This window comes from Homo sapiens, chromosome 10 (genome assembly GCF_000001405.40).
Source record: "Homo sapiens chromosome 10, GRCh38.p14 Primary Assembly".
NCBI lineage: Eukaryota > Metazoa > Chordata > Mammalia > Primates > Hominidae > Homo > Homo sapiens.
The window spans coordinates 50,856,045-50,882,795 of NC_000010.11; the positions used below are offsets into that span (position 1 = coordinate 50,856,045).

The 26,751-nt window shown below is 35.7% G+C and overlaps 1 protein-coding gene across 14 annotated transcripts in view; it reads right to left on the bottom strand.

Moving 5' to 3' along the window:
• The window catches only part of A1CF (APOBEC1 complementation factor), an 86,219-nt gene that overhangs the window by 56,636 nt on the left and 2,832 nt on the right, over positions 1-26,751 (bottom strand). For 3 of the 14 annotated variants that reach the window (NM_001198818.2, XM_005269718.3, NM_001198819.2), the window contains exons 2-4: positions 7,989-8,036; positions 6,845-6,937; positions 3,798-3,941 (exon numbers count right to left, since the gene is read on the bottom strand). The exons of 1 other annotated variant lie outside the window; for it this stretch is intronic. In NM_001198818.2, the coding sequence (NP_001185747.1) occupies positions 3,798-3,896 (99 nt within the window). In that variant the 5' untranslated portion in view covers positions 3,897-3,941; positions 6,845-6,937; positions 7,989-8,036. The remainder of the gene's footprint in view (positions 1-3,797; positions 3,942-6,844; positions 6,938-7,988; positions 8,037-26,751) is intronic. 10 more of the 14 variants (NM_014576.4, NM_138932.3, NM_001198820.2 and 7 more) reach the window with 4 other exon arrangements.

The window sequence follows — 26,751 nt, forward strand, 5'->3', positions numbered from 1 at the left end:
TACAAAGAGTTTGAAGTTGTGTTTCTACATATTTAGGCTACCCTTTCGACCAAATAGTCCAGTGTGCTAACCAGTGACTAGATTCAGAAGATACTAGAATCACAAAAATCATGGACAAATAGTTGGGTATTGCGTACCTGATCTTCCAGGAGATTATGGCCTGGAGATGTTAAGGGACTTTTTAAAGATCATACAACTCATATGTCATAGGGACTAGATTAGATTACAGGCCTTCTGATTTAAAGTCTTGGATAATTTTCCACACTCTGTAGCCAAAATCAGGAGGGATTCTTTAATTCATTCAAAATGATTGAGTTATATAGGTATTTACATTTTGATTAGAGGCCTTAGGTATAGATAACTAGCTTTTGGAACATTAAGCTTCTACATTATTGAAGCACTTCTGATTCAACAGTCACGCTGCTAGTCAATATTACTTAAAGTGAATCATGTTACAAAGTTTAGGTTCCAAAAAAATGTTTGTCACATGCTCTAGGATGCTGATCTCTAAAATTGCAATCTTAAAAGTCACATTATAACAACTCTCAGTTTTCTGAGTCTAACCAAAAATTTTGGCCAATAACAACAGAATCTTAATCTCACAAGTTATCTAAACTGTCTGTGCCTTGTTTTCTTCATCAGGAAATTGGGGATAAACATAGTAGCTATCACACAGTGTATAGTAAGGACTAGATGAGTTAATATACACAAAGCAGATAGAATATTTTTTGTTATTATTATTATTACAATTAACTTGTGGTCTAGGTCCTTATTATAAGCATTTTCTGAATATCATTTAATAGATAAGATCAAAGTAAAATAAAGATTGGCCATATATTTTAGGAGTATTTTATATGTTAACATTTTCAATTATACATATCATTATTTTCTCTATCAGATAAATGTCCTTAAATCATAACATTTGACCTTACAATGGAGCAAAATTTTTAAATGGAGTAAGATTATCTCCATTGTTATTTGGGTCTCTTTTCAAAAAAATTATTTGAAAGGTTTCTTCATAGCTTTAACAATAATGTGTTACAATTGTCCTTCAGATTTTTTTATATGATTACTGTTAGTTACTGAATACTATTTCATCTGTGACAGGATTTTAAGACGGAATTGGACTTTTAAAATTGGTGCATAATAATTGTACACATTTAAGGAGTCCATGTATGATATTTTAATACACGCGTACAATATGTAATGATCAAATCAGGGTAATTAGGATATCCCTCACCTCAAACATTTATTTGTGTTGGGAACATTTCAAATCTTCTCTTCTAGCTGTTTTGAAATATGTAATAAATTATCATTAACTCTAGCCTCTGATTTAGGTATGAAACCAAGTGACTAGAGCACCAAGCAGGATGAGAAGGTAGCAGGAAACTATTTTTCCATTGTTAACTGTCACCCAACACCCTAAGCTTAGAAAAGAGATTGGAGAGTTTGAGAGAAGTTTTTGGAATTTGCACAAAGATATTTGGAGATGACTGCTGTTGTGTTGTGACTCTTAGTTCCCCCTAAGTGGGAGGAATTGGGAGGCGCCTGTCATTTTGCCTAAAGCAGGAGAAACCACTTAGACAGCTTGATGTGTATTCCCTGCCTTTGTGTTTGGGGAACACACTAAGCTGGTGGATCTAACTCACTCCTGAAATCTCTCACTGTGAACAATGGGTTGGCCTGCAGCTTTGTTGTTGGCAAGGAGAAGTGGTTGCTTTGTGTCACCTCAATTTCCAGATTTTGTTGGGTCAGGGAATGTGTGTTTCCGGGGATCAGAGTTTGGCCACGTGTAGAAATTAATGATTATCTTCCATCCTCTCCATGAGGGCTGCTTCAAATATCAAAGAGAACCCAGCAGGAGGCTGGGTGTCTGAAGATCGTAAAAAGAATCTCACAAGCTTCGATACCTGTCAGGCCTGAGAGCCCAATGAAGGTAGCTCAGTAAAAACTTTCCTTTACCATTTTCTTTGCTTTTATTTCTCCCTTCTGCTTCAATCAGGAGTCAGAAATTGTAGTTACCAAACTGGTGTTGAAAGAGGAAAACATAGTGCAGAAAAACAGAAAAGAAATTATCCTCCACCCTGACATACTTGAGAAAGGGAAATAACTGCAACTTTGAATGATTTTATGTCTTTACTATTATTCCAAACAATCTAGTTTGGAATAACATCAATATGAAAAAAATATCAATTTTTTTAAATGAAGGATTTTTATTACCTGAACGTTACCAGAAAAGTTATGAGACTTTACCTGAATTTCATGTGGGGGGAAAAGGAAGAACCAGTATCCAGAATTGAATGAAATGTAATTGATAATTTATATTGTTTTAGGATTATTTTTCATAAATTCTGCTTGTTGGGTATAATAATTATACATTCATAATTTACTTAATAATTTTCTTGTATTTATACATTTAAGTTTGTGATATGCATTACAGCTAATGTCACCCTTGACAGATTTATACATATTTCTATCTTATATTATGGGTCATTAGAAATACAGTTCCAGAAAAGGAACACTCATATATAAATATTAACAGATTGCTGTTTGAAAGGGTTGAAATGCTTTCTATTTCTACTGTCTTTGCACAAATGTTTCTAATATCAAGAAGTTCAAAATTTTAAAAAGATTCAAAAACATTCTTGATTGTATAACATCTATGGAAGTGTTGATTGCAAAAAGAAAGAAAACCCTCTTTTCAAAAGTTTAATGAGTCTAAAATAATTTGAATTTTAAGTATTAAAAAAACTAATATGTCAGTATCTCCATGGACTTAAGTGAAACTTCAAAAAGTCAACTATGAAATAATAGAAACTTTTTGAAATCTTAAAAAAGACTAACGCTCTTCATTAGGATGAAGAAAATAACTATTACTATGTCTAACAAAGCATGCCATGATTTATAAAATTAATTAAAAAATAAATGTATATTTTGCAACTGACAAAGGAGCATCTAATGGAAGGACACTCTTGCATATTTTATTGCTAATCACACATGACATTTGAATTCATAGTAGTTTGAATTCAAGATTTGGTTAAGTTGGGAAAGTATGTGAGTGAAAGAAAATAGCTGAGAAATTAAAATACTTTGTCCTACTGTAAAAACAGCAACATTTTTTTCTTTAAATAAGATAATATATGTATCTAACACTACATTTTTTTAAATGCAGCATAAGTTCTCTAAAAGAAGATATCATAAAGATAATAATAATATACAGATAATTTCTAAAAGGCAGTGTCTATAAATAGACAGTTTTAAGATTGTGGTGTTTTCTTTTTTCCTTTTACAAAATGCTAAGCATGGAGACAAGTTAGTATTACATATCCTAGACTGGATGAGCAAGTGTTCTGAGAGAACAAACTGCAGCAGCTAGACACAAAAAGTTCATTCCTTGGATCCCACATCTAGAAGTCTTAGGTGTGCAGTGATCTCTCTGGAAACTAAGCCTGGTTCCTGCTGTAGTTTATTTTCTGCTGATTCCTGAAACACCAATGTGGTTCTACTTCATAGCCTTGGGTGGCAAATTCTAGCTGCCTTTTTGGGATAGTCTCTATAACTGTGGACACTGATTCTGTGACAAGTTAAGGTTGAATTGATAACCTAGAGTAGAAAGAAGGTTACATTCAGTGTCATCTACAAAACAGAAATGTTGCAATTTCCTTCTCTTTTAGAAAGGGACATTTCTCTAAAGAGCTATGTAACTGACCATTCCCATTTTGCATCTTAGGACCTCCAATATTCCCACCACTGTGCAAATTCAGTGGTGAGTCTCAGCAGATTTCACAAGTTCCTACCTGGACCAAGCTATATCCTGTGCGCTGGACCAGTGCGCGGAGGGCTGCTTCCTTCTGAGTGCCGCTCAATCCATCCCCGGATTTGTGATTTGATTCCATTGAGAGTGATTATCAGCAAAAAATCAGGTTAATTAGGGTTGCTCACTGAAACCAAATTTAAGATAAATTAAGTAAATTACTGTTGTCAAGTCCAAACTTCTCCTTTTCATGAAGGACATCTTTAGGAAATATTCTCTGTAAATGCGTCATTAAAGTTAGAGCAACTAAGAGTTACATACAAACAAGGCTGTGTAAATGTGCTCTTAAAAAAAAACTTTTAAAAATGCACAATATTGGTTGAAATTTAGAAACAAAAAAAAATGAACAATACCCATTCTCCAATTATAATGCAGATTAGTAATTCTGAATCCACTTATCTCAGGATGTCACCAAATACTCAAAAACAGATCAGCTCACATCTATTAAAAGAATATGAAGAATGTTCCTTACAGACGTGAGAAGAGGACACTGTCGCTCATTCTAACCACTAAGATAAGAAATCAGAATTCTCAGAGATTGAGTTTTAGTCTGTGTGTCAGCTAAGATAGTTATCTACTTATTCTCCAAAGATAAATTTTTAGAGCAAAATATGCCAGTATCACATACACAGAAGTCATCATGCAAAGTACTCTATGTAATAAAAATGTGACATTAATTTTAACAAAACAAGAACAATGGATGCTTTTGACTTGACGTGGGAAGGGTTTGCTAACACCCAGATCACATACCACAGACATGTTCAGTAGAGTACATGAAAACTTTTGTAAATTTTAAAAAATGATGAAAGTTTACATATGTTCACGTTTGTGTGTACAGATATAAATGTATAATTTCAGCATTTCATTGTCTACATTTTCTATTTTGGGAACATGATTTGAATCACATTCCAAATATGATGGTTGCTCACATCCACAAGTTCCCAGAACAAGATAATGTCCATTTTGAAGGTTCTAGGCTGTAGGAGTGTGAGGCCCTGGAAGTTCCCACATACACAGAGGTGAAGGCTGCCACACTGGGTTCTAGTTATTAGTGGCTCAGGGAAGGTTCTTTGCTGGGTTTTCACCCTGCTTAATGTGCTCTGCCAACCAGGACAGAGGAATATGTTTTACAATGATCTGAATCAAATGCAACTAGAATGTATTTGAATATAGGTACTTTTGAAAATTTTCTGTCATATGCGTTGAGAATTCCTGTACTGCTTCACATTGTCCTTTAAAGACTCAGAATGAAGACACCATTAATAATATAAGAAACTGGGTGAAAATTTGGGTGAAAGAAAAAAGTGAAGCTGAAGTGATCGTTTCTGAAAAATGCAGCTTTAAGGTATTCTATTACTAAAATTACTATTACTTGAATAACAGAATAGTAATAGAATATTACTAACAATAGCAATATTACTAAGACTACCTACTAATATTAGTATTAATAGTACTACTATTACTGATAGCACTAATATTAGTACCAATATTACTAACACTAGTATTACTAATTGCAGCACTAGTAGTAATGACAGTGCTAGTATCACTAATAGTAGTAATGATAACAATATAGTAATAGGTATTCTATTACTAAAGTAGAGGTATTCTATTACTAAAATTACTATTACTTGAATAACAGAATAGTAATAAGATATACTATTAGTAACAATAACAATATTATTAGGACTACCTACTAATATTAGTATTAATAGTACTACTATTACTAATAGCACCAATATTAGTACCAATATTACTAATAACACTAGTATTACTAATTGTAGCACTATTAATAATGACAGTGCTAGTATTACTAATAGTAGTAATACCAATATAGTAATAGTAGTAGCAATAGTAATATATTGTTATAATTACTGGTAATTATTACTATTACTACTATTATGATTATAGTAATACTAATCATAATAATAGTAATAGTAATTATTACTAGTAATTATAATAATACTATGATAGTAGCAATAGTAATATTAATAGTATTTATAATACTACTATTAGTATACTAGTATAGTATTACTATAGTAGTGCATATAGTATGCTAATACTATATATATTATGATTAGCAATACTAATCGTAATAATAGTAATACTATAGTAATACTAATAGTACTACTATTAGTAATAGCAATGGGTATTCTACTACTGAAGTAGTAGAATTAAATAAATGTCCCCAAGCTAATAGATAAGCATCATTTAGAAAGTGATATTTTGGCCAGGTGCAGTGGCTCTGGCCTGTAATCCCAGCACTTTGGGAGGCCAAGGAAGGCAGATCACCTGAGGTCAGGAGTTCGAGACCAGCCTGCCCAACATGGTGAAACCCTGTCTCTATTAAAAATGCAAAAATTAGCCAGGAGTGGTGGTGCATGCCTGTAATCCCAGCTACTTGGGAAGCTGAAGCATGAGAATTGCTTGAACCTGGGAGGTGAAGGTTGCAGTAAGCTGAGATCATGCCATTGCACTGCAGCCTGGGCAACAGAGTGAGACTCTGTTTCAAAAAAAAAAGGAAGTATATTTTCATTATAATTTAGAACATCAAAGGAAAAAATGAGATTATCAAGAGTTAGCTGTTTTTAGGGACAGAACAATGTCATCCTCTTTATATAAACATGGATATTCTTGCCTTCACCTTTCTGATGGTTCTTGCCTGCTGCTGACTCAGGGCAATTCAGTTTGCATTCACTGATTGTTTGAAGAAGCATATAGTTAATGCTCTCTGTTTGCTATTTCTACCCTCTGTCCAGCTTTAGGGCATTGCATTTTAGGGGGAATCTGCTAACTTAGTAAGTTAACATGCCAGCTTCAGTGTCTGTACTTTGCAAAAGGCAAAACATTTTGAAGACTTACAAAGGAAACTAGTCTTTCAGATAAAAATTAACTCTTGCTTTTTTCCCAAATGCTACCAAAATTGTCTTTTCGTGAGGATACTCTCAAACCCTCTCACTGTGCTTAATTAAATTGCAAGAGCAGGGAGGCTGTGGATGGGGTCTGATGGGATTATTTACGTATGTGTTACACCTCTTTGAAGGCAAAGTCTACAGTCTTCTGGCCAAGTTGTAGATTTGTTCTTCGCTGAACTTCATCTTTTCCATCAAAAAGATAACAGTCATGCTGAAATGACAAGTTTATATTTGCAAAATCTGCCTTTAGTTTTGGTTAATAATTAGTAAAGGTTATTAAAGGTATCTTGAAATCAGAAAGGTCTTTTGATCACATATAAATGCACTCTGAAGTTATTGAGAAAATCTGTATAATATCTCAATTATAGTGTCAAGTCATTGGGAATCAGGGCATGGAAATAAAATTCAAAATTTGTCATGAGAAACACTTAATCTTTAATTTTTATTTTGCAAAAACAACCCCCTCTCAAAGTGTTGACCTAGTCTAAGGAGTGAACTCGAATCCCAGATAAATATTTCTTTTAAGCAAGTCAAACTTTTATTAAAAAGCTTGGCCAAATTGAAATAAAGCCTTTGCAATACATCTTCTAATTTAGCACCTTGTAAGTTCTTCAGATCAGAATTATGAAAGAATAGTTCTTAAAGTATCTTATTGAAGCAATAGAATTTAAAACAAATAGAGCAGGCATTAAGACTTTGGAAAGATAGAGAAAAGCTTTCATGAGTATTTATCACCTATTAATTCAGAAATTATTTATTGAGTATCTACTGTCTTCTAAGAATTTTCAAGACATAGGGATGTAGATGAGAAAAAATAAAACCAAACCTCTCATCCCCCAAAATATCATGGAGTTTTACAGGGGATGAGAGAGGTAATAAATAAGATCAATAAGTAGAATACAAAAAGTGGATCTCATGGAGGTTAAAAGTAGAAAGGTGGTTACTAGAGGCTGAGAAAGGTAGTGGGGAGAAGGAGATGAATAGAAGTTGGTTAAGGGGTACAAAATACAGTGAGACAGAAGTTCTACTATTTGATAGTATAGTAGGGAAATTATAGTTAACAATAATTATATATTTTAAAATAACTAGAAGATTTATAATGTTCCAAACATAAAGAGAAAATAAATGTTTGATGTGATATTCCAATTACTCTGATTTGATCATTACACATTGTATAGAGGTATCACAATATCACATATACCCTCAGAATATGTACAACTAATATATGCCAATACACAGTAAGTAAAATATAGTATACTTACATAATTTTTGTAGAGAAAATCCACAGGTTTTTGGCACAGCACTGTTATCTAGTTGAGGATGGGTGAGAGCAGAAAGGGTCAAAAAAGATGGAGATTGGATGGAGGGGAAGGCTACGGTTAGTATTACAGGAAAGAATCATATATTCACATACTGTCTCTAAGCATCAATTTCCTCATTTGTGAATTGGGGTGATGAGCAGGCTGTGCAACATATTGTTGTGAAGATGAAATGAGAAAACACCTGTGAAGCATTGCCCTAGGTTTGCTAATATCTCATATTGGAGGAGAGAAGCAGAGTAGAGGAACAGCAAAAGGACTCCAGAAAGGGCCTGATGAAATGTCAACTCCTCCTTGTATAATTTCCTCCCCTTTCCCTTCCCTTCTCCTTTATATCCCTTCTAACAATGGGATGAGCAAAGGACACAAAGTATTGAAAGCCAGGGCTTCCTCTAGTTCTTACAGCTTCCATTAACTGGCGATCAGAGTCTTCTTGTCCTCTCAGACACTGTGTTTTTATTAGCAATGGAACACTTGGTTTAAATGTATCCTCACCACCAAACCTGCTATGTAAAAATGGTCCCCTCTTTTCTTTACTTTTTTTTTGAGATGGAGTTTTGCTCTTGTTGCCCAGGCTGGAGTGCAATGGCATGATCTCAGCTCACCGCAACCTCCGCATCCCAGGTTCAAGCGATTCTCCTGCCTCAGCCTCCCGAGAAGCTGGGATTACAGGCAGGCACCACTACGCCTGGCTAATTTTGTATTTTTAGTAGAGATAGGGTTTCTCCATGTTGGTCAGGCTGGTCTCGACCTCCTGGCCTCAGGTGATCCGCCAGCCTTGGCCTCCGAAAGTGCTGGGATTACAGGAGTGAGCCACCGTGCCTGGCCAATCCTCCCGGCAGGTCTCCTCTTTTCTTCTTCCACTTTCACCCTAGAGGAAGCTATCTGAGCCTGTTTCTTTACATATAAAATTACGATGGGGCCGGGTGCAGTGGCTCATCCCTGTAATTCCAGCAATTTGGGAGGCCCAGGAGTTCCAGACCAGCCTGGGTAACATGGCAAAAGCTCATTTCAACAAAAAATACAAAAATTTAGCCAGGTGTAGTGTCATGCATCTGTAGTCATGCTACCTGGGAGGTGGATCACCTGAGCCTGGGAGGTTGAGCTTACAGTGAGCTGCGATTAGGCCACTGCACTCCAGCCTGGGTGACAGAATGAGACCCTGTCTCAAAGGTACTCCTACTACTACTGCTGCTGCTGCTGCTATTACTACTACTACTACTACTACTAAAATAAATACAATTAGGATGATGATAATTCCATCATAGGGTTCTTTGAGGATTCAATATTAATATTGGGAGCTAAATAATGAATATGCCTTTAAAATACTTAAAATGGTTTCTGGAATTTAATAACCATCCAATAAATATTAGCTATTATATCATTTTAATTATTATAATTATCAATCTCTAACTCCAAGAGGCAGAATTTCAAAACCAACTGTGTGAAGGATAAAGTCCCAGGTTCTTAGCATGACACATTGTCCCTTCAGGACTAGACCCTAGACTCCCCTTCCAGTGTCATTCACATGCCCTGCCACTTGGCCTTCCCATGCTTTCTTACACTTCCAGTTTCTCTGCTTGGAATCTCTTTTCCTTCCCATGCCTCCTAACTTTGCCACATTGGCCTTACTGATCCTTCTAGACTTGATTAACATCTTCTTTGCTCTGTGATGCTTTCTTTCTTTGACAACCTCTGTAGGTAACCTTCAAGTGTCAGCTCCTCAGTCCTCTCAAAAAAACCTGTACATCCTTGTATTGTTTCGCACATGACTGTATTTATTGGCTTACATGTCTAACTTTTTCACTAAACTGTGAGCTTTCTGAGCACAGGGACTATCTTGTACCTCATCTTTGTTTGCCCAGAAGGCTCAGCTTGACATTATGCTAAGTGCTTAATTGATACTTTTAGAAGAAATGCAAAACTTTGGATCAGCAATTTTATAAATTACAGAGACTTGCAGTCAATCAGAATTAAATTTAATCTGAATTGAAAGTCCTAATACTTATTATTTCTCTTTTTCCAGTTCCTTCCTGAAATTTCCATCCTGGAATGAATTTGTTTTATATAAGAAATTGATTTTTGTTGTTTCTCTGCATTTATGAATATGTCATCATACTTGTGAGAGAGACAAGAAAAGTAAAAAAATTCAGAGTGCAGAGTGATTAAAATATAAAGTTGATATTTGTATACACTTTTCTATCTCTTTCTGGTTTTATATTTGCAACATCAGTGCCTATTTGACCAAGAAAACAAAGATCTAGAAATTCTTGGGGGTTCAAGACTTCTGCCTTCTTGAGAGGCAGAGAGGGATTGGAATGAATAGCTCACCTCGTCACTTGGCTGCAGCTGCTCAATGGAAATTGCCATAGTTCACTATTGGGCAAAGTTAGAGCTGCAGTTCCCGACCCTGTTGGCCTCAGGTGCCAGTGGGTCCAGTTTCAGGGAAGTTGGCAGGGAAACAGATGAGAAGGAAGTTGGAAGAGAGACACAGGCAGTGTAGTACATTCTGACTTTTCTAAATCTAGACCTGTTAGCTGGATAGTATGTCCTGCTCTTTGATTATAACCCTGAGCTAGAAAGAGGAAACACATTTATCTTGTACCTAAAAGCTGATCCCACATGAAGAACCAAGTCATGGAAAGAAAACTAAGCGAGGATTTTAAGTGAGATTTGTTATCTAGATTTGCCTGAAGTTATGAGAATGGTAGAAGGTCTTACTGCCCTAGCAGACCATAAGTTGGCAGCTAGGGAAACAGACAAAGAGGGAAAATGAGTAATATATGTATATAAGTTTTTAAAAGAAAATAGAGATGGGGCTAGCTATGTTGCCCAGGTTGGTCTCGAACTCCTGGGCTCAAGCAGTCTTCCCATCTCGGCCTCCTAGACTGCTGGGATTACAGGCGTGATCCAACATGCCTGGCCTGTTTTTTTTTTTTTCTTAATGTCTTTCAAATGGTAAATTGGGGAAGATACAAGACAAAGGTAAGAGGAGTACATACTAGAAAAACACATTTAACGAGTCATGAAAGCATAGCTTGGCAAAAACAGAACTAGAAATCGTAGTTGGGCACTACTGGGTATCTATCCAAAGGAAAAGAAATCAATATATCAAAAACATACCTGCACTCATATGTTTATAGCAGCAATATTCATAATGGCAAAGATATGGAATCAACCTAAGTATCCATCAACAATTGGATAAAGAAAATTTTATATAATATTATATATGTATAGTAGAATTTTATTCAGCCATGAAAAAGAATGAAATTCTTTTATTTTATTTTATATTTTGCAGCAACCTGGTTGGAACTGGAGGCTATTTTCTTAAGTGAAACAAGTCAGACACAGAAAAACAAATCTGTTCTCATTCATAAATGGGAGCTACATAATGTGTACACATGGAGGTAGAGAGTGAAATGATAGACAATGGAGATTTGGAAGGGTAATGAAGTGAAAAGGTGGTGGATGATGAGGGATTCCTTAATGGTTACAATGTACATTATTTGGATGATGGATACCCTAAAAGTCTTGACCACTCTGCAATCTAGGCATATAACAAAATTACACTTGCACCCTATAAGTTTATACAAACAAAAGAAATGGTCATTGTGAATGACAGGCAGAGAGGAACAGAAAGGAGACAAAAGATAAAGACAGAATTAAAGTTAGAAGATTTCTTGGTTAAAAATTAAAGTAATTATCCTCGACTTTAACAAAAGGATCAGCAAATATTAATTTAATATCTGCAACGTGGTAGACAATTTAGAGTTAGGAAATGAAGGCATTCTGTTAATAGTATGTTTACTATCTTGATTTGATTTTTCGGAAGAAATTGGATAAGGAAACTGAATGGGGACAAAGACTATTTCTGACTTGGTAAGCAGAGAAGTGTTCTTTCATAATTGAATGAGAAGCCACTGGGGCCCGTACAGTGAGGTGCTCCACGTGCATTTCAAATCCATGATGGCTTCACTTGCCTCTGGGACCTCTCCAAACTGAACCTAGTCTTTCCTCAATGTTTAGTTGTGCCTTGACATTACATGATGTAGGCTGGACATAACTTTTATGTAACATGCAAGTTGTACAAGTGGTTTTAGCACGAATTTCAGCCCTTGAGTATCTCCTGGGAATTTTACGTGAAAGAAATTCTAGATAGTACTGAAATGGTTGGTGAAGGATTTATGACTGAAGTCTATATATTTGCCTGATGATGCTAAGTAAATATTGCTTTGCATTGCTTGATACAAAGCTCTAATATCCACCTTGGAAAAATATTTACAATTGATCTTAAGTCTATTTTGGAAATTAATTCTTGTGGTAGCATGCACTTTGGTCATGGATCATGAGCCATAGCAAAATTAATAGAGAATATGTATACATAAAATTTCAAAATATAGCCATGAAGACATCACAAAAAGTCCCAATGTGCAACATCTTAGTTTTTTAAAACAATACTAGAAAAAAAACTAACCAGAACCTCCTCTATGTTTTTCAGGCATTAGCAAAAAATCATATATTAATTTGGAACTTGTCAATTTAAGCCAAGACAAGGCTTAAATTAAAGAAAGAAAAGAAATGTAAAAGTTGTTCATAGTGGACATGTTAATTTTACTTGTAAGTATTGACAAAAATTTTCCTCTGTAGTAGGTTTCCACATTTTTAAAGAAGAACAAGCTTACACTGAAATTTCAGTTCTGTTCTTGAATTAACTGTAGCAAACTTACACAGGGACAGAACTGAAATGTAAATGTAAGCATCTTTAAAATTGTGGAACCTGCTGCAGAGGAGGATAACAGAAAACCAAATACCATATGTTCTCACATATAAGTGGGAGCTAAATGATGGGAACACATGGACACATAGAGGGGGACAACACACACTGGCACCTTTCAGAGGATGCAGGGTGGGAGGAAGGAGAGGAACAGGAAAAATAACTAGTGGGTACTAGGCTTAACACCTGGGTGATGAAATAATCTGCACAACAAACCCCCATGACACAAGTTCACCTGTGTAATAAATCTGCACTTGTATCCCTGAACTTAAAAAAAAAAGTTAAAAAAAATTTAGTTCTGCCACCATGATTTTAACTTTTCTGAGGTCTAGTTTTCTAGTCTAAAAAAGGATAAGAATACTGATACCTAACTTGAAGGTTCTTTTAAGCATGGAATAAATAAGGTAATGAATGTGAGAGCGCCTAACATAGTACCTGGCATATAGAAGGTGCTGTAGAAATATTCTATTCTTATTCTTTATTTGCTGCTTTGTTTAACTCATCTTAGCCATGACCTGTGATTTTCTCATTGGTTATTCTCCTCCTGTTTCTCCAATGCAGAGAAAAATTCAATTTCGAATGCATTATCTTGAGCTCTTTTATATTGCCTTACTAATGGATCCAGTTATTTCATTTATCTTTGTTTTTGCTACCTAGTAGAAAAGTTGTTAAGGTCCTAAGACTGTTCATGTTTGTCACCTCTCATAGAATATATTAGTATTGTTATGAAAGGTAGGCACAACTGAAATATCTAATGATAAAGAAATATTTGAATAAGCAGTGATACAGTACAGCTAATCAAATCAATGTTCTAGAAGAATATATAATAATTTAGACAGATACTTGTGAAATATAATAAAGTAGAAAAGGCAGGTTACAAAACAGAATGTATGGTCTGATTTCATTTGTATTAATTTTTATATTCAAATATGCTTTGATTACACAAGGCTAATTTGTTATCTCTGGGTGAGTGGATTAACAAATTATTTTTGTTTTCTTCATTCTTGCTTATTTGACTATTTTTAGCTTCCTATGATATATAGCTCTTGCTCATAATATAAAATATAAAAGTTAAAATTATGTTAATAAATGGATGTTAATGAAAATATCATACTTTTCATGAAGATGTGGTCAAGTTTCTATTCTTGTTTTTCTTTTTTAATTAATACATAATAGATTTAACATATTTTGAGGGTACATGTGATAATTTAATCCATTTATATAATTTGTAAAGCTTAAAGAAGTATAATTGGGATATCTATCACTTTAAACATTTGTCTCTTCTTTATGCTAAAAACATTAAAATCATTTTCTCTAGCTATTTTGAAATGTACACTAGATTTTTGTAAACGATAGTCTGTTTATTATTAATTACAAGACAATAAACACTGAAAATAAGCATTCAACTAAAGAAGCTAGGAAAAGAATGAAATGGACAAAAAGAAATTGGAAGGAATCAAAGATAAAAGTAGAATTAATAAAACAAATTTGTAGACTTGATAAATGTATGTAACAGCTGAGTGTAGTAGTAAATTAGCATTCAGCTGGCAATCCTGACAAGGTAAAAAGGAGAAAATAAATTTTCAAAACAAGAGAAAAATTGGATATAACCAAAGATTCATAGACTTTTAAAAAAGAGAATACTTTTACCAATAATTTGAAAAATATACATGTAGTGGACAAAACCTTAGAAAAGTGTGAATTTTTAATCTCAAGGATAAGTTAAAAATTTGAATAAACTAGTAATCATAATCTATATTGAAAACATTCAATGTTTTCCTCCCAAATAACACCAGATCCAGATGGTTTTATTAGGCAAGTTTTATAAATCTCTTTAAAAGCAAATTATTCCTTTGCCATGTAAAGCCTTTTGAAGAGTAGAAAATAATAGAAAACTTCTGAAATTATCTACAAACTCATCATATCTGATAGAGAAAAATATACTACAAAGTAGAACACTAGACCAGTATCATAGGAGTATAGATATGAACTACATATGAAAAAGCATCCAAAATAATAATATACAATGAACAAGATGGGATCACTACAAAAATATAAAGTTTATTAAACATTAGGGATTATCGAAGTTTAATTCATTTCACTGTTAAAAAGAAAACACGTGATCATCACAGTAAATCTAAAAATGGCACTTAATGAAAGTTAATACCCAGTATTGGTTTAAAAAAAATCTTCATAAGTGAACAATAGAACAAAACATCCTTAAATTGATAAAGAGCATCTCTCAGAAACATGAAACAAACATTATACTTAGTAATGAAACACCACAATCATTTATTCTCATTAAAAACAAGTAAATCAACTATATAATATGATTGAAACTAATGAAAGATTACTACAAGGAAAATTATAAAATAAATGTTCTGTATTTAATAGAAATAACAAGTGAAGTATAATAAGGTCTAAACAATAGAATAAAAACATAAAAGTTGAATAAACTTAACGAGAAAAGTTTAAAACCTATATAAAAAAATGATAAAATTTGACTGAAAGATCTAAAGGCCTTAGTAAATGGAAGTTTTGCTGATGTAAAAATATCAGTTTTTCCCAAATTATTACTTTAATGCAATTCTAATTTAAAGTCCAATGAAATTATTCTGAAATTTGACAAATTGATTTCATAGTTCACCGGGCAGGAACAATGTGCAATAAATGCCACAACATATATTGAAAGTGTATAATGATTTGGAACAGCCCTAATTAACAGTTTAGATTAAAACAAGCATAGAAATAGAGAACCAGATTAATGGAGTAAAATAAAAACTCTGGACCCATAGTTTTGTTTATACTGGAATTCACCAATAGGTGCTATTTCAAATTCATAGGGGGATCATAAACAATTTGAGAAAAAAAATAAAGTGGGCATATCACCTCATAACATGCCAGCATTCTAAATGGAATAAAGAAATAACCTTTAAAAACATTGTGTAACTTCCAGAAGTAAATATAGTAGAGTGTTTTTATAATCTCATGGTACAGAAGGTCTTCTAAACCAAGCATATTAAGAACCATAAATGAAAAGACTAGCAGATTTGACTACAAAAATATTACAAACTTCTGTAATGGCAAAATAAATGAAGTTAAAAAGAGTCTACAGACAGGAAGAGAATAATTGTTATTTATATAATAGATAGAGAAATATTATCTGTAATATACAGATTACTTTTAAATAATAGACACATATCAGTGGACAAATGAGCAAAGGAAATGAACTGTCAATTTAAAGAAATCAAAATAGCTTATAAACATGATTTAAAAATGGTAATCTTTAGTGATCAGGAAAAGGCAAATTAAAACAAAAAACCAAGATAACATTTTTTTGCCTATTATGTGGCAATATGTAAAAATATTTTAAATAAGGATAATAAACATAGCTAACATTTACTGAACACATATGCTATGTTCTGAAAATTTTAAACATAATTCATTTAATCCTCATAAAAGCTCAGTGATGTAGCTATTATTATTCCTATGATATGGGTAATAAATCAAGGTAGAGAGAGGCTAAAGTGCCCAAGGTTACACTGGTAATGAGTGGCAGACAGATGATTTGAATTTAGGTAGCCTGGAGGCTGAGATTGTGTTCCTAATTACTAATTTTACTTCTTTCCAGTTTCCTCATCTTAAAAAAAAATAGGCAGGGGGTGTGGAAATTATATCTACCCTGCCTGCCTTAAAGTGTTGCTGTGAAGAACACAGGACACCATAATGAACCAATGAGGGGGATGCTGTGGTCCCCATTCTCTTCCATAGGGACACATGGTCTGGAGCATCTGAAGCACTATGGTAACTTAGCCTCTTTGCCGGAATGAAAGTGAGCTATTGTAATAGCTCCTTCGAGGAGTGGTGTGGGTGGATTGTCTGATGCTTCACTCGGACACATCAAGGATTGATCCCCTGTGGATATGGTCCAAATGGACCCAGCTGTCTGCTATGCAGAGTCATATCTCATTGAAATGTTACTCCTTGGCAAGTGTGGCGCCTTCATGGTTTACCAAATGATGTATCATTTGGCAAGATCTGGCTCAGCTTTCATGCTTACTTTTATTCTTATATTTAAGTTCCTTTTTTTTTTTTTTTTTTTTTTTTTTTGAGACAGAATCTCGCTCTATCACCCAGGCTGGAGTGTGGTGGGGTGATCTCAGCTCACTGCAACTTTCTCCTCCTGGGTTCAAGAAATTCTCCTGCCTCAGCCTCCCAAGTAGCTGGGATTACAGATGTGTGCCACTATGCCTGGCTAATTTTTGTATTTTTAGTAGAGACAGGGTTTTGCCATTTTGGCCAGGCTGGTCTCGAACTCCTGACCTCCAGTGATTCACTCACCTTGGCCTCCCAAAATGCTGGGATTATAGGTGTGAGCCACCTCGCCCAGCCATTTAAATTCTTTAAAGTGTTGATTCTTCTTTCCACTGATCTTTAGTTCTTCTGGATTGTAGATAGCAAGAGAAGAAGAAATTATCTATAGACCAAATATCTCATGAGGTTGCAATGGAGGTAATCAAAGCCCCAAGTGCTTCTCAAGACAGCTAACACAACTATGTGTAGTTGTGTTACACACAGCTACACACAGGGAATGAGTAAGGTCTTCTCACTCTCCATCCTCAAATGACCATATAATTCATTTTTCCTTTTTCTCTTTTTCTGTTTTATTCTTTAATTTTTTGTTCCCTTTCCTGCTCTTTTGGTGACACCCATGGCTAAAGAAGTTTCTGAATCCATCTGACATGTATATTGAACTTTTAAGGCAAGATATTAAATGTTGTAGAGGAGTAATGCTGATACAACTTTCTAAATAAATTGTTATTTTTGCAAGGATGCGTAGGGCTAGCTGATGTTTGATTACTGTTTGTTGAAGTTTAAAATCTATATACCATCCTATATGGAATCATTCTAAGTCCTAAGTAGAGTAAATTAAAATAGCAAAACCTAAGACACTGGAAAAATTGCACTGTAATGAAAATATCTATAGAGAAAAGAAAAACTATATCAGAGAAAAAATACCATAGGAACCACTGTCTTAGAGTTTATCAGAGAAAAAGAACAAGCAGGTATAAAATGAACAAATGATTATTTTATTATAATTTTAATATGTGTTTGTGTATATATGTATATATCTGTGTATATGCACATATGTACACACACCGGCATTAAATCAGGGCATTAAAACATGCAAGGGGTAGAGGAGGCATATTTTCTCAATTTTTAAAAAACTACATCAAATCAGAAATCAGATACAGGCTCATTAAAGGAAAAATGTTACCTTAACTCTTAGGAAAGTTAAGCATATTCATCTGGCCCACAGATCATCAGATCATCATTTTTGCAAAACAATCCTGGCATCTAGAAATCTTTTTTGTTTTGTTTGAGGAAAAAGTAATTTCAAATAGTTGGAACAATTTACTTTCATATAAAAATCTGTTTAAAATTGTATAATTTATGATCCAATAGAAACACATCTTCCTTTTTAGCATATTCTCATAAAGTGGATTTTATAAAGGTACATTTTATCTGTTTCGAAAGACATTTCTCCATTTGTTAAAAATGCCCTTTAAATATCAATGAGAAGCACTTTAAATCCCTAGGATTTAACTTGAACTATAAATGACACAAGGAAATACCAGAAGAGGAAGCATTCACCTATGCACCTGTGCACATCTTGTTGCAATAGTACGAGATTTAACTGCAAACGTTCTTAAATTTTAGCAAATAATATTCGCTCCATTAAATCTCTCCTTCCTCTTTTTTATCCCATGCCCCCAAAACTTCACTGTAATCTGCTCCAACAGAGGTTGTGTCCAGTTTGAGTAAATCCCTTAACTGTTACTTGCAATAACTTCCTTTAAAGCCTTATTCTTAAAATATTGTGCCACTATTAAAACATACTCCCAATCGGCATTAAAAGATCACTTAAGAACCGCCGTAGCAGAGCCAGGTGCCAATAGCCATGACATACAGAAGCTGTGCACAAAAACCAGACTCCCTGCCTGGACTCATGGTAGAATCACCTGTGCTTAGGCATCATCTTACCCTCCCGGAAGGATTCTGATTCAGCTGGTTTGGAATGGGGCCCAGGAAATGACAGATTTTAAAGCTTCTCAGGTGATAACAATATGCAGTTGCATCTAGAACAGCTGACTGAAGCTCTAATTTACACACGTGACAGGTCAAACAAAACAATTGAGAATAATTGAATTTATTCCACCAGCCAAATACATGGACCATATACTCACATAAAAAATCTAATTAAAAAGAAAAAGACTACATGAGAAAGGTAGAAATTAGACAGCAGGAGAAAAGAATAATTCAAAATTTTCTCTAATAATTGTTTTGTCTATGGTTTCATCATTTCTAATGAGTAAATGTTTTCCTAGTTGTATTTATAAATAAAATCCTTGAAGTACCTTAAAAAATCTGACTCTTACTAAATTCTGGCTCAAATGGTTTGTTTCAACTCAGTTTTGATGAGGACTCGCCAATAAGATATTTATATGACCACTGCATGCATAAAACTAGTACTTGTTGTGTGGTTCTATGTACGGAAAGGAAGCAAAAGCTGTGGGGTAGAGAAAGGACAGAGAGCAAGGAAATCTCTTAGGAGAAAGGAGCAGATGTAGGAGAGTTGAGTCAGGTGAATAATGAAGAGCCTGAGCAGTTCTGTGAATTGCTATGAATTCTAACTCTGAAGTCCTAACAGTCTCTTTATCCAGAGCAATCTTCAATATAGGCACCTCATGAAGCCTGGATCTTAACTTGTTTTCTGCTTTTGGTACATATGTATCCTTACCTGTTGCCCTCTCTACACTCCTAGCTCTATTTCCCACCCCATCTTCCATTACTGGACTTACCCTGAGCTCAGCTAAAGTGTAGAGTGAAAGAAATGTCACTGCTTACTACCCTCTAGGCATGGCATATCTGTTCTGCACACCACTGGAAGATCAATCTCCCTAAAATATTCCTTCTAGTATTCTCCTGCCCCAAATCCTTCACTGGACCCATCACTAACTAGAAAGAAACAGTTCAGCCCCTTAACCTGACATTCAGTGCCTGCCATGACCTGGTCGTAACTTGACTTTCCTGATTTTCTTTCAATACAAGTCTGGAGCTATTCCATGCTCAAGTCCATCAGGTCTCCTAGGCACACCAGTTGCTTTTTATTTTACCTAGGCGCCTTTGTCCTTGTTTCCCATTTCCCACATGCCTAGGATTCCCATTATTCTTTCTATAATTTCCCTGGCTAAGCCAAATTCATGTCTATTCCATCAGATCTTGGGTATATGTGATTGTGTGTATGTATAGATGTATAAGTGAACTAGCACATATGTGCAGACATGAATACGTATATACACACAGGGCCGAATAAATTCTGAGAGGTCAGTGTTTGCAGCACATCACACAAGAAACCTACCCCTTTCCTTTTGTAATTGCTCTGACTTCAATACTGTCTTATAAATTGTCCAGCCTGTGCTCCACTTGGACAAGCTTATCAGAAACTCAGAAACAGGAATACTCATAAGTGCTCTGTCCTTGTCAACACTGAAGATTGAGAGATGAATGATAGGTTTTTAACCCCAAAAAGATCTTGGAAAATTTTAACAGCAGATGCAATGTGAGTGGGCCTCATCCAATCAATTGAAAACCTGAATAAAACATAAAAGCTGAGTAAGAGGGAGCTGGGCCTGCATGACAGAGCAGGGACATTGGCCTTTCCTGATCTTCGGACTTGAAATATTGGCTCTTCTTGCGTCTCTAACCTGATGGCTTCTGGACTGGAACTTACACTATTGCTTTTCTGGGTCTCAAGCCTTTGGACTTGGGCTGGAACTATGCATGGGCTCCCCTGAATCTCCAGCTTGCTTACTGCAAATCTTGGGACTCCTGCTTCTATAATTGCATGAGCCAATCCCATAGAATAAATCTCTTTATTTGTATTTATATGTGTAGACTTACATATTTATATGCATACTTACACAAATTTATATTTGTTTTATGCATTTATAAATGTATTGCCTATATATACATATACTATGTTTTCTTCTAGAGAACACTGAATAATACATACACGTAACTCTGTTTTTGTGCTGTTATTGTTCTAGTACCTGTAAGATCAGACTACTACAGGTGACTGTTGTGCTATCTTTATTCAATTATGATACTCAACTATTCCCAAAATGCCTGACTTCTAGAAGATTCCTGGGGAAGAGAGTTGACAGAATTTAGAAATTATAGAATGACATGGCCTAATGAAAAAAGCAGAATGTCTTTGTATATATGTTTAATTTTTAAGTTGTCTTTTGAATTGGTAAAGTGGTAATCATGGTATACAATGTAGATATTCTTCAGCTTAAAAGCAGTTGATTATTCAATAGTCCTGGTACCAATTATTTGCGTGGTATATTATAGAGACCTGATGAGCTGTGTGTGGTCTATTTCATTCATTCATACTTCTAGTGTTATGTTTCTCCCTCTCTTTTTAACCTTATTGAGACTCTGACCTTCTGAACTTAGTTGCTGCATCTGGTTTCCTCAGACCAATTTGGAGAAATTTAAGTTGAAAACTCAATTTTCACCAAGTCTGCCAATCACTGACTAATGGAGTACATTTGATCTCTGAGTGAAGCTTTAAAAAATCCATCTAAAGCTCTGTGTTACAGTGGCACAGAAGCAATCTGACACTTGTAAGGAAAGATAGCCTTATGTTTCTATTTTAAAAGCCATATTATATTTGTTCTGATTTTATGCTAATTTACATGCATCATCATAAGTGGCTTTGAGTACTGATCTTTTCTTTCATAGTGATGAAAATAATAAAGTCTTAGAGATTTGCATTCTGGTGTGAGGATCTGTATTTCTCTTTTACTTCCTCTGATAATTACCCAGTTTCCTTCAAATCATTCTCTACTAATTTAGAAGACCCTGTCTGTGATAGGGAGTGTCTCTGTCTTAGAAAAAACTGAAAGAGGGCCGGGCGCCGTGGCTCACGCCTGTAATCCCCCCACTTTGGGAGGCTGAGGCAGGAGGATCACGAGGTCAGGAGATCGAGACCATCCTGGCTAACAAGGTGAAACCCTGTCTCTACCAAAAATACAAAAAATTAGCCAGTTGTGGTGGCACATGCTTGTAGTCCCAGCTACTCAGGAGGCTGAGGCAGGAGAATCGCTTGAACCCGGGAAGCGGAGGTTGCAGTGAGCTGAGATCACGCTACTACACTCCAGCCTGGGTGACAGAGTGAGACTCCATCTCAAAAAGAAAAAAAAGAAAAAAAGAGAAAAACTGCCAGAGAATCAGGGAGAGACTGTTTCAAATTTCTACTACAAGCCAGTGATGGGGATAGAATTAATTTCTAAGCCACCTCATTCTACTTTAAAAAGCACTGTACATTTTTACCTCATGGCCTCTTTCTCATCTATTTTCCTCTAGTAAAGCATTTTGTAATCAACACAGAAATATGATGAGAGTTATAGCTAAATGGCTAAAGTTTATGCACACTTGCTTGGTATTATTCTAAGCACTTTACAATTTCTGATCTAATTATTGAAACAACCCTGACTTTACAGAAGAGGAAATAGTCACAGAGTTCAGTAATTTGCCTAGAGTTAAATTGTAGCAAGTGGTAGAGCCAGAATTTGTATCCAAGCATTCCAGATCCAGAGCCTTCTGCTTTAACATATGATTTGTCTCCCACTCTGCTATGCCAACATCACAGGTCAGAGCTTTGGATCATTGGGCTTTAGGAAATCCTTTGCAATTCTGAGTTACTAAATTATTATAGAAAGGATTTGATTTTACGGCTTGTTTTTAAATGTCAGAGAAAACTAAGAGTTTCCAGGCATTATAGGTTTTTCTCTTAAAATATCTTAAGGGTCCATATAATGGCATTTGCTGCATGATGTCAATTCAAGTTAATGCACCTGTTAAATATCTGTGATTTAATGAGAAAACTAGACATGGATGAATTAGTATGTTGCAAGTGTGATACTCAAATGACTTTACTAACAAAATTCTTTAATAAGTTAATTCCTTAAAGATCAGACAAATACCTGCTACTCAAGTCCCTTATATCACCCCCAAGTTACTTGTGACACTTCCTCCCTGGACCATCTGCTCTTGACATCTTCTCTTCCCTATCATCAAAACTTGCTTCCCACAGGGCTTTGCCAGGCTAGTCTGTTAAGCGATTTTAGTCCCTATCACTCACACCCCGCATCCCAACTAATTTGTATTTTAACAAAACTTGTGGGAACAAACTCTTATTCTAAATGAGTAACTCTATTCAGGTTGGTGGAGCTGCTATTTGGGAGCATCTGAGTCTCAATTTAAAGTTCTGAATTAGGTCAGTTTAAATATGGGACTCCCTTAGCAGACACAGACCTAGCAGCCCAATTATTTTTTCCATGGGGAAAAGGGTATGTCCTCCAGGTAGGAGGTGCTATGTCCTCTTCAGACACTAACAGAATTTGAGTGTAATTGCAACCAAGTCATTCATCACAATTACTTTTTATTTTTATCAATGCCTCCATGGTTTATCCTGTCACTATGTTCATGGTGCCTGTATTAGTCTGTTCTCATACTGCTACAAAGAAATACCTGAGACTGGGTAATTTATAAAGAAAGAGGTTTAATTGACTCACAGTTCTGCATGGCTGGGGAGGCCTCAGGAAACTCACAATCATGGTGGAAGGCAAAGGGGAAGCAAGCTTAGGCCTTCTTATGTGACAGCAGGGGAGAGAAGTAGTGTGTACAGAAGGAAAAGTCAAACACTTATAAAACCACCAGGTCTCATGAGAATTCACTCATTATCATGAAAACAGCATGGGGGAAACCACCCCCATAATCCTATCACTTCTCACCAGATTCTTTCCTTCAGGCCTAAGGATTACAATTCAAGATGAGATTTGGGTGGGGACAAAAAGCTAAACCATATCCATGTCTGTGTCTGCATGTATTTCCTCTGTGATGTGGGCCTGTCAGTCTCTCCAAGTCACAAAATGGGTCTCCTTTAACTGAGTCTCTGGCTAGGTCAGTCCATGAGTCTGGGCACAGCAAGGAAGGTGAGACTTGGAGTGAAGGGAGTATTCCTGTTTAACTATAGGGATTCTATTAATTCGTCTCTCAGAATTTTCACAGAGAATCAGGCTGAATTAGAAATGCTTTACAGTGGGAAGTGGTATAATGGAAAAGTATCCACAGAGGGTTCAGGTTCTGCTCTTGGGTTCTCATTCTAACAAAAACCCAAGCTGGGGAACCCAACTTGCTTTTCTCTGTCAAATAAAGGATCTCAAAAGTTTTCTTCAGTTCTAAGCCTTGATGCTTCCCAGTGTTCCATTTGTCCTTTGTTCACAGGGTGGCCTGTGCCAGACTGCCCGGACTCACTCCTGCACCACTTATTAGTGGTGTGACCTGGGGCAAATTTCTCTGTGTCCCTAAGCTGTAGCTGCTTTATTGGAAAAATGGCGTAGCAATAGTACCCATTCCATAGAGTGATGGAGGATTAAATGAGTTAACCTATGTGCCTGGCATGTGGCAGGATGTAAGAGGATGTAAGAGATTTTATTAACATCATTGTTATCATCATCGTAGGGTGCCAATTATAATTAGTTGGTAGTAAGTACATGAATGGCGAGGAACTCTTAGGGATCTTCGGAAAAGAAGGTTAGAAAGAGGATTCCTGAGATGAACATCTATATGTGCCAACACAGTTTTCCCCCCATGGAACCTGATTTTGATTTCTGACTTCCATTTCAAATAATCAGAGGCATTAGAGTTTAATTACATCTAATAATTTAAAGTACATTTTAGTTCATGCTGAAGGCCCCAGATGGAAAGATAAGCACTAAGCAGAATCCCAGTAGAAGAGCTGGATAGAATACTAAAATCAATAGAAATAAAAAATTTCATTTGTGCACAATGTTTTGCCAGTCCCCTGCCAGGCAGGTAGGAGATTTTATAAACCTCTGTTCCTTTATATCTTTCACTGTGTTAGTCACAGCATCTGGACTGAGTTATAATTACATCTTTTTAGGGCTGTTTTCTTCTAGGTCCCATATGGGGGTGGTTCTTCTCTCACCTTCCACATGGACCTTTATGTCCTCTCTTCACTGTTTTCATTTAGACTCTTTTTTTTTTTTTGAGGTGGAGTCTCACTCTGTCGCCTAGGCTGGAGTGCAATGGTGCGATCTCGGCTCACTGCAACCTTCGCCTCCTGGGTTCAAGTGATTTTCCCGCCTCAGCCTCCTGGGTAGCTGGGATTACAGGTACCCACCACCATGCCTGGCTAATTTTTGTATTTTTCTGGAGGTGGGGTTTCGTCATGTTAGCCAGACTGGTCTTGAACTCCTGACCTCAGGTGATCTGCCTGCCTTGGCCTCCCATAGTGTTCGAATTACAGGCGTGAGCCACTGCGCCCGGCCTCATCTAGCCTCTTAACTGATAGGTACATTAGTTAATGTCCAGTGAAGTTGGACATCATTGTGTTACATAAACAGAGTTGGGCTTATAAACGATAGGTGGGAGCATCTTTCAGTTAATCAGATTTGTACAATTGGAATGGTGAATATTGACACAGTTACCTTGAAGAAACTAGGCATACTGAATTGACATCAACTATAAGAAATTTGCCATTAAAAATCTTTATAAGTTCTTGTATATGAAAAGCTTTATAAACTAGAATATCCTATGGAAATAAGATATTGTAGTTAGTTCTACTACTTAAACCTAGTGATTTTTAAATCAATTGGGCATCCTAAAACAATGAATAGTTTTTAATTGCTGGAGGGAGGGAAGGCATCACTACATCACTACTGCAGGTGGGATTTTATAGAATTATAAACCAATCTGCTCACTTAGACATTCTGTCTGCCTAAATTGTCATGTGTTAATTCTCTTTAGTCATATTACATCTGGAGCAGAGCATTGCACTTAACTGTGCAAATCAGAAGGATTTATCTTACATCCTTATTAGTATTTCTCTCTTAATATTACCAGGGACCAATTCCTATTGAATAAACAAACTTGGAAAATGTTCTCCATGTGATTGTTAATACATATATGCATAAAACTCCACATATAAATCTATATAGGATAAAAATCTTAGCTTACATATGTTTAAAAGAAATCAAATTAGAGCTCTCAAGATACCAGCATATCTTATACAGGACGATGATTTTTTACAAAAGGGCATGTTTTAATTTTTGGATTGCATCAATCAAAAATATTCAATACAAAATTTTAGTTTATTAAATTAAAAATTCTAAGTGGTCATTAAAACTGATAACCTAGACCGGGCATGTTGGCTCATGCCTGTAATCCCAGCACTTTGGGAGGCTGAGGCAGGCAGATCATGAGTTCAGGAGTTCGAGACCAGCCTAGCCAACATAATGAAACCCCGTCTCTACTAAAAATACAAAAGTTAGCCTGGCATGGTGGCGTGTGCCTGTAATCCCAGCTACTCGGGAGGCTGAGGCACAAGAATCACTTGAATCCAGGAGGTGGAGGTTGTGATGAGCTGAGATTGCACCACCACTCCAGCCTAGGCAACAGAACGATACTCCATCTCATACAAACAAACCATCATCAACAACAAAAAACTGATAACCTAGTTGGAGTAGATTTGATGAAATGAAATGATGAACTAGCTTTCCTGGTTGAATCAGCAGCAAACATTTGTTAATAACTCTCCAGATTTTACAGGATCAGGCCAAGGAGCAGATGGGATACAGATTTCTAATACAGAATGTCACCGCAAGAGTGCTGCTCCTTTTCCAGATGCTTTTCCTGGGGGCAGTTGGATTGTGAGAGCTGCACTTTGCAGGAGCCTGGTTACTGTTTCTGTGAATAAGATAAAATGGTGTTTATCCTCTGTCGATCAATACTGTCTTGTTTGAACTTATTGAGTCATTTTAGAGACACATAAGGTAA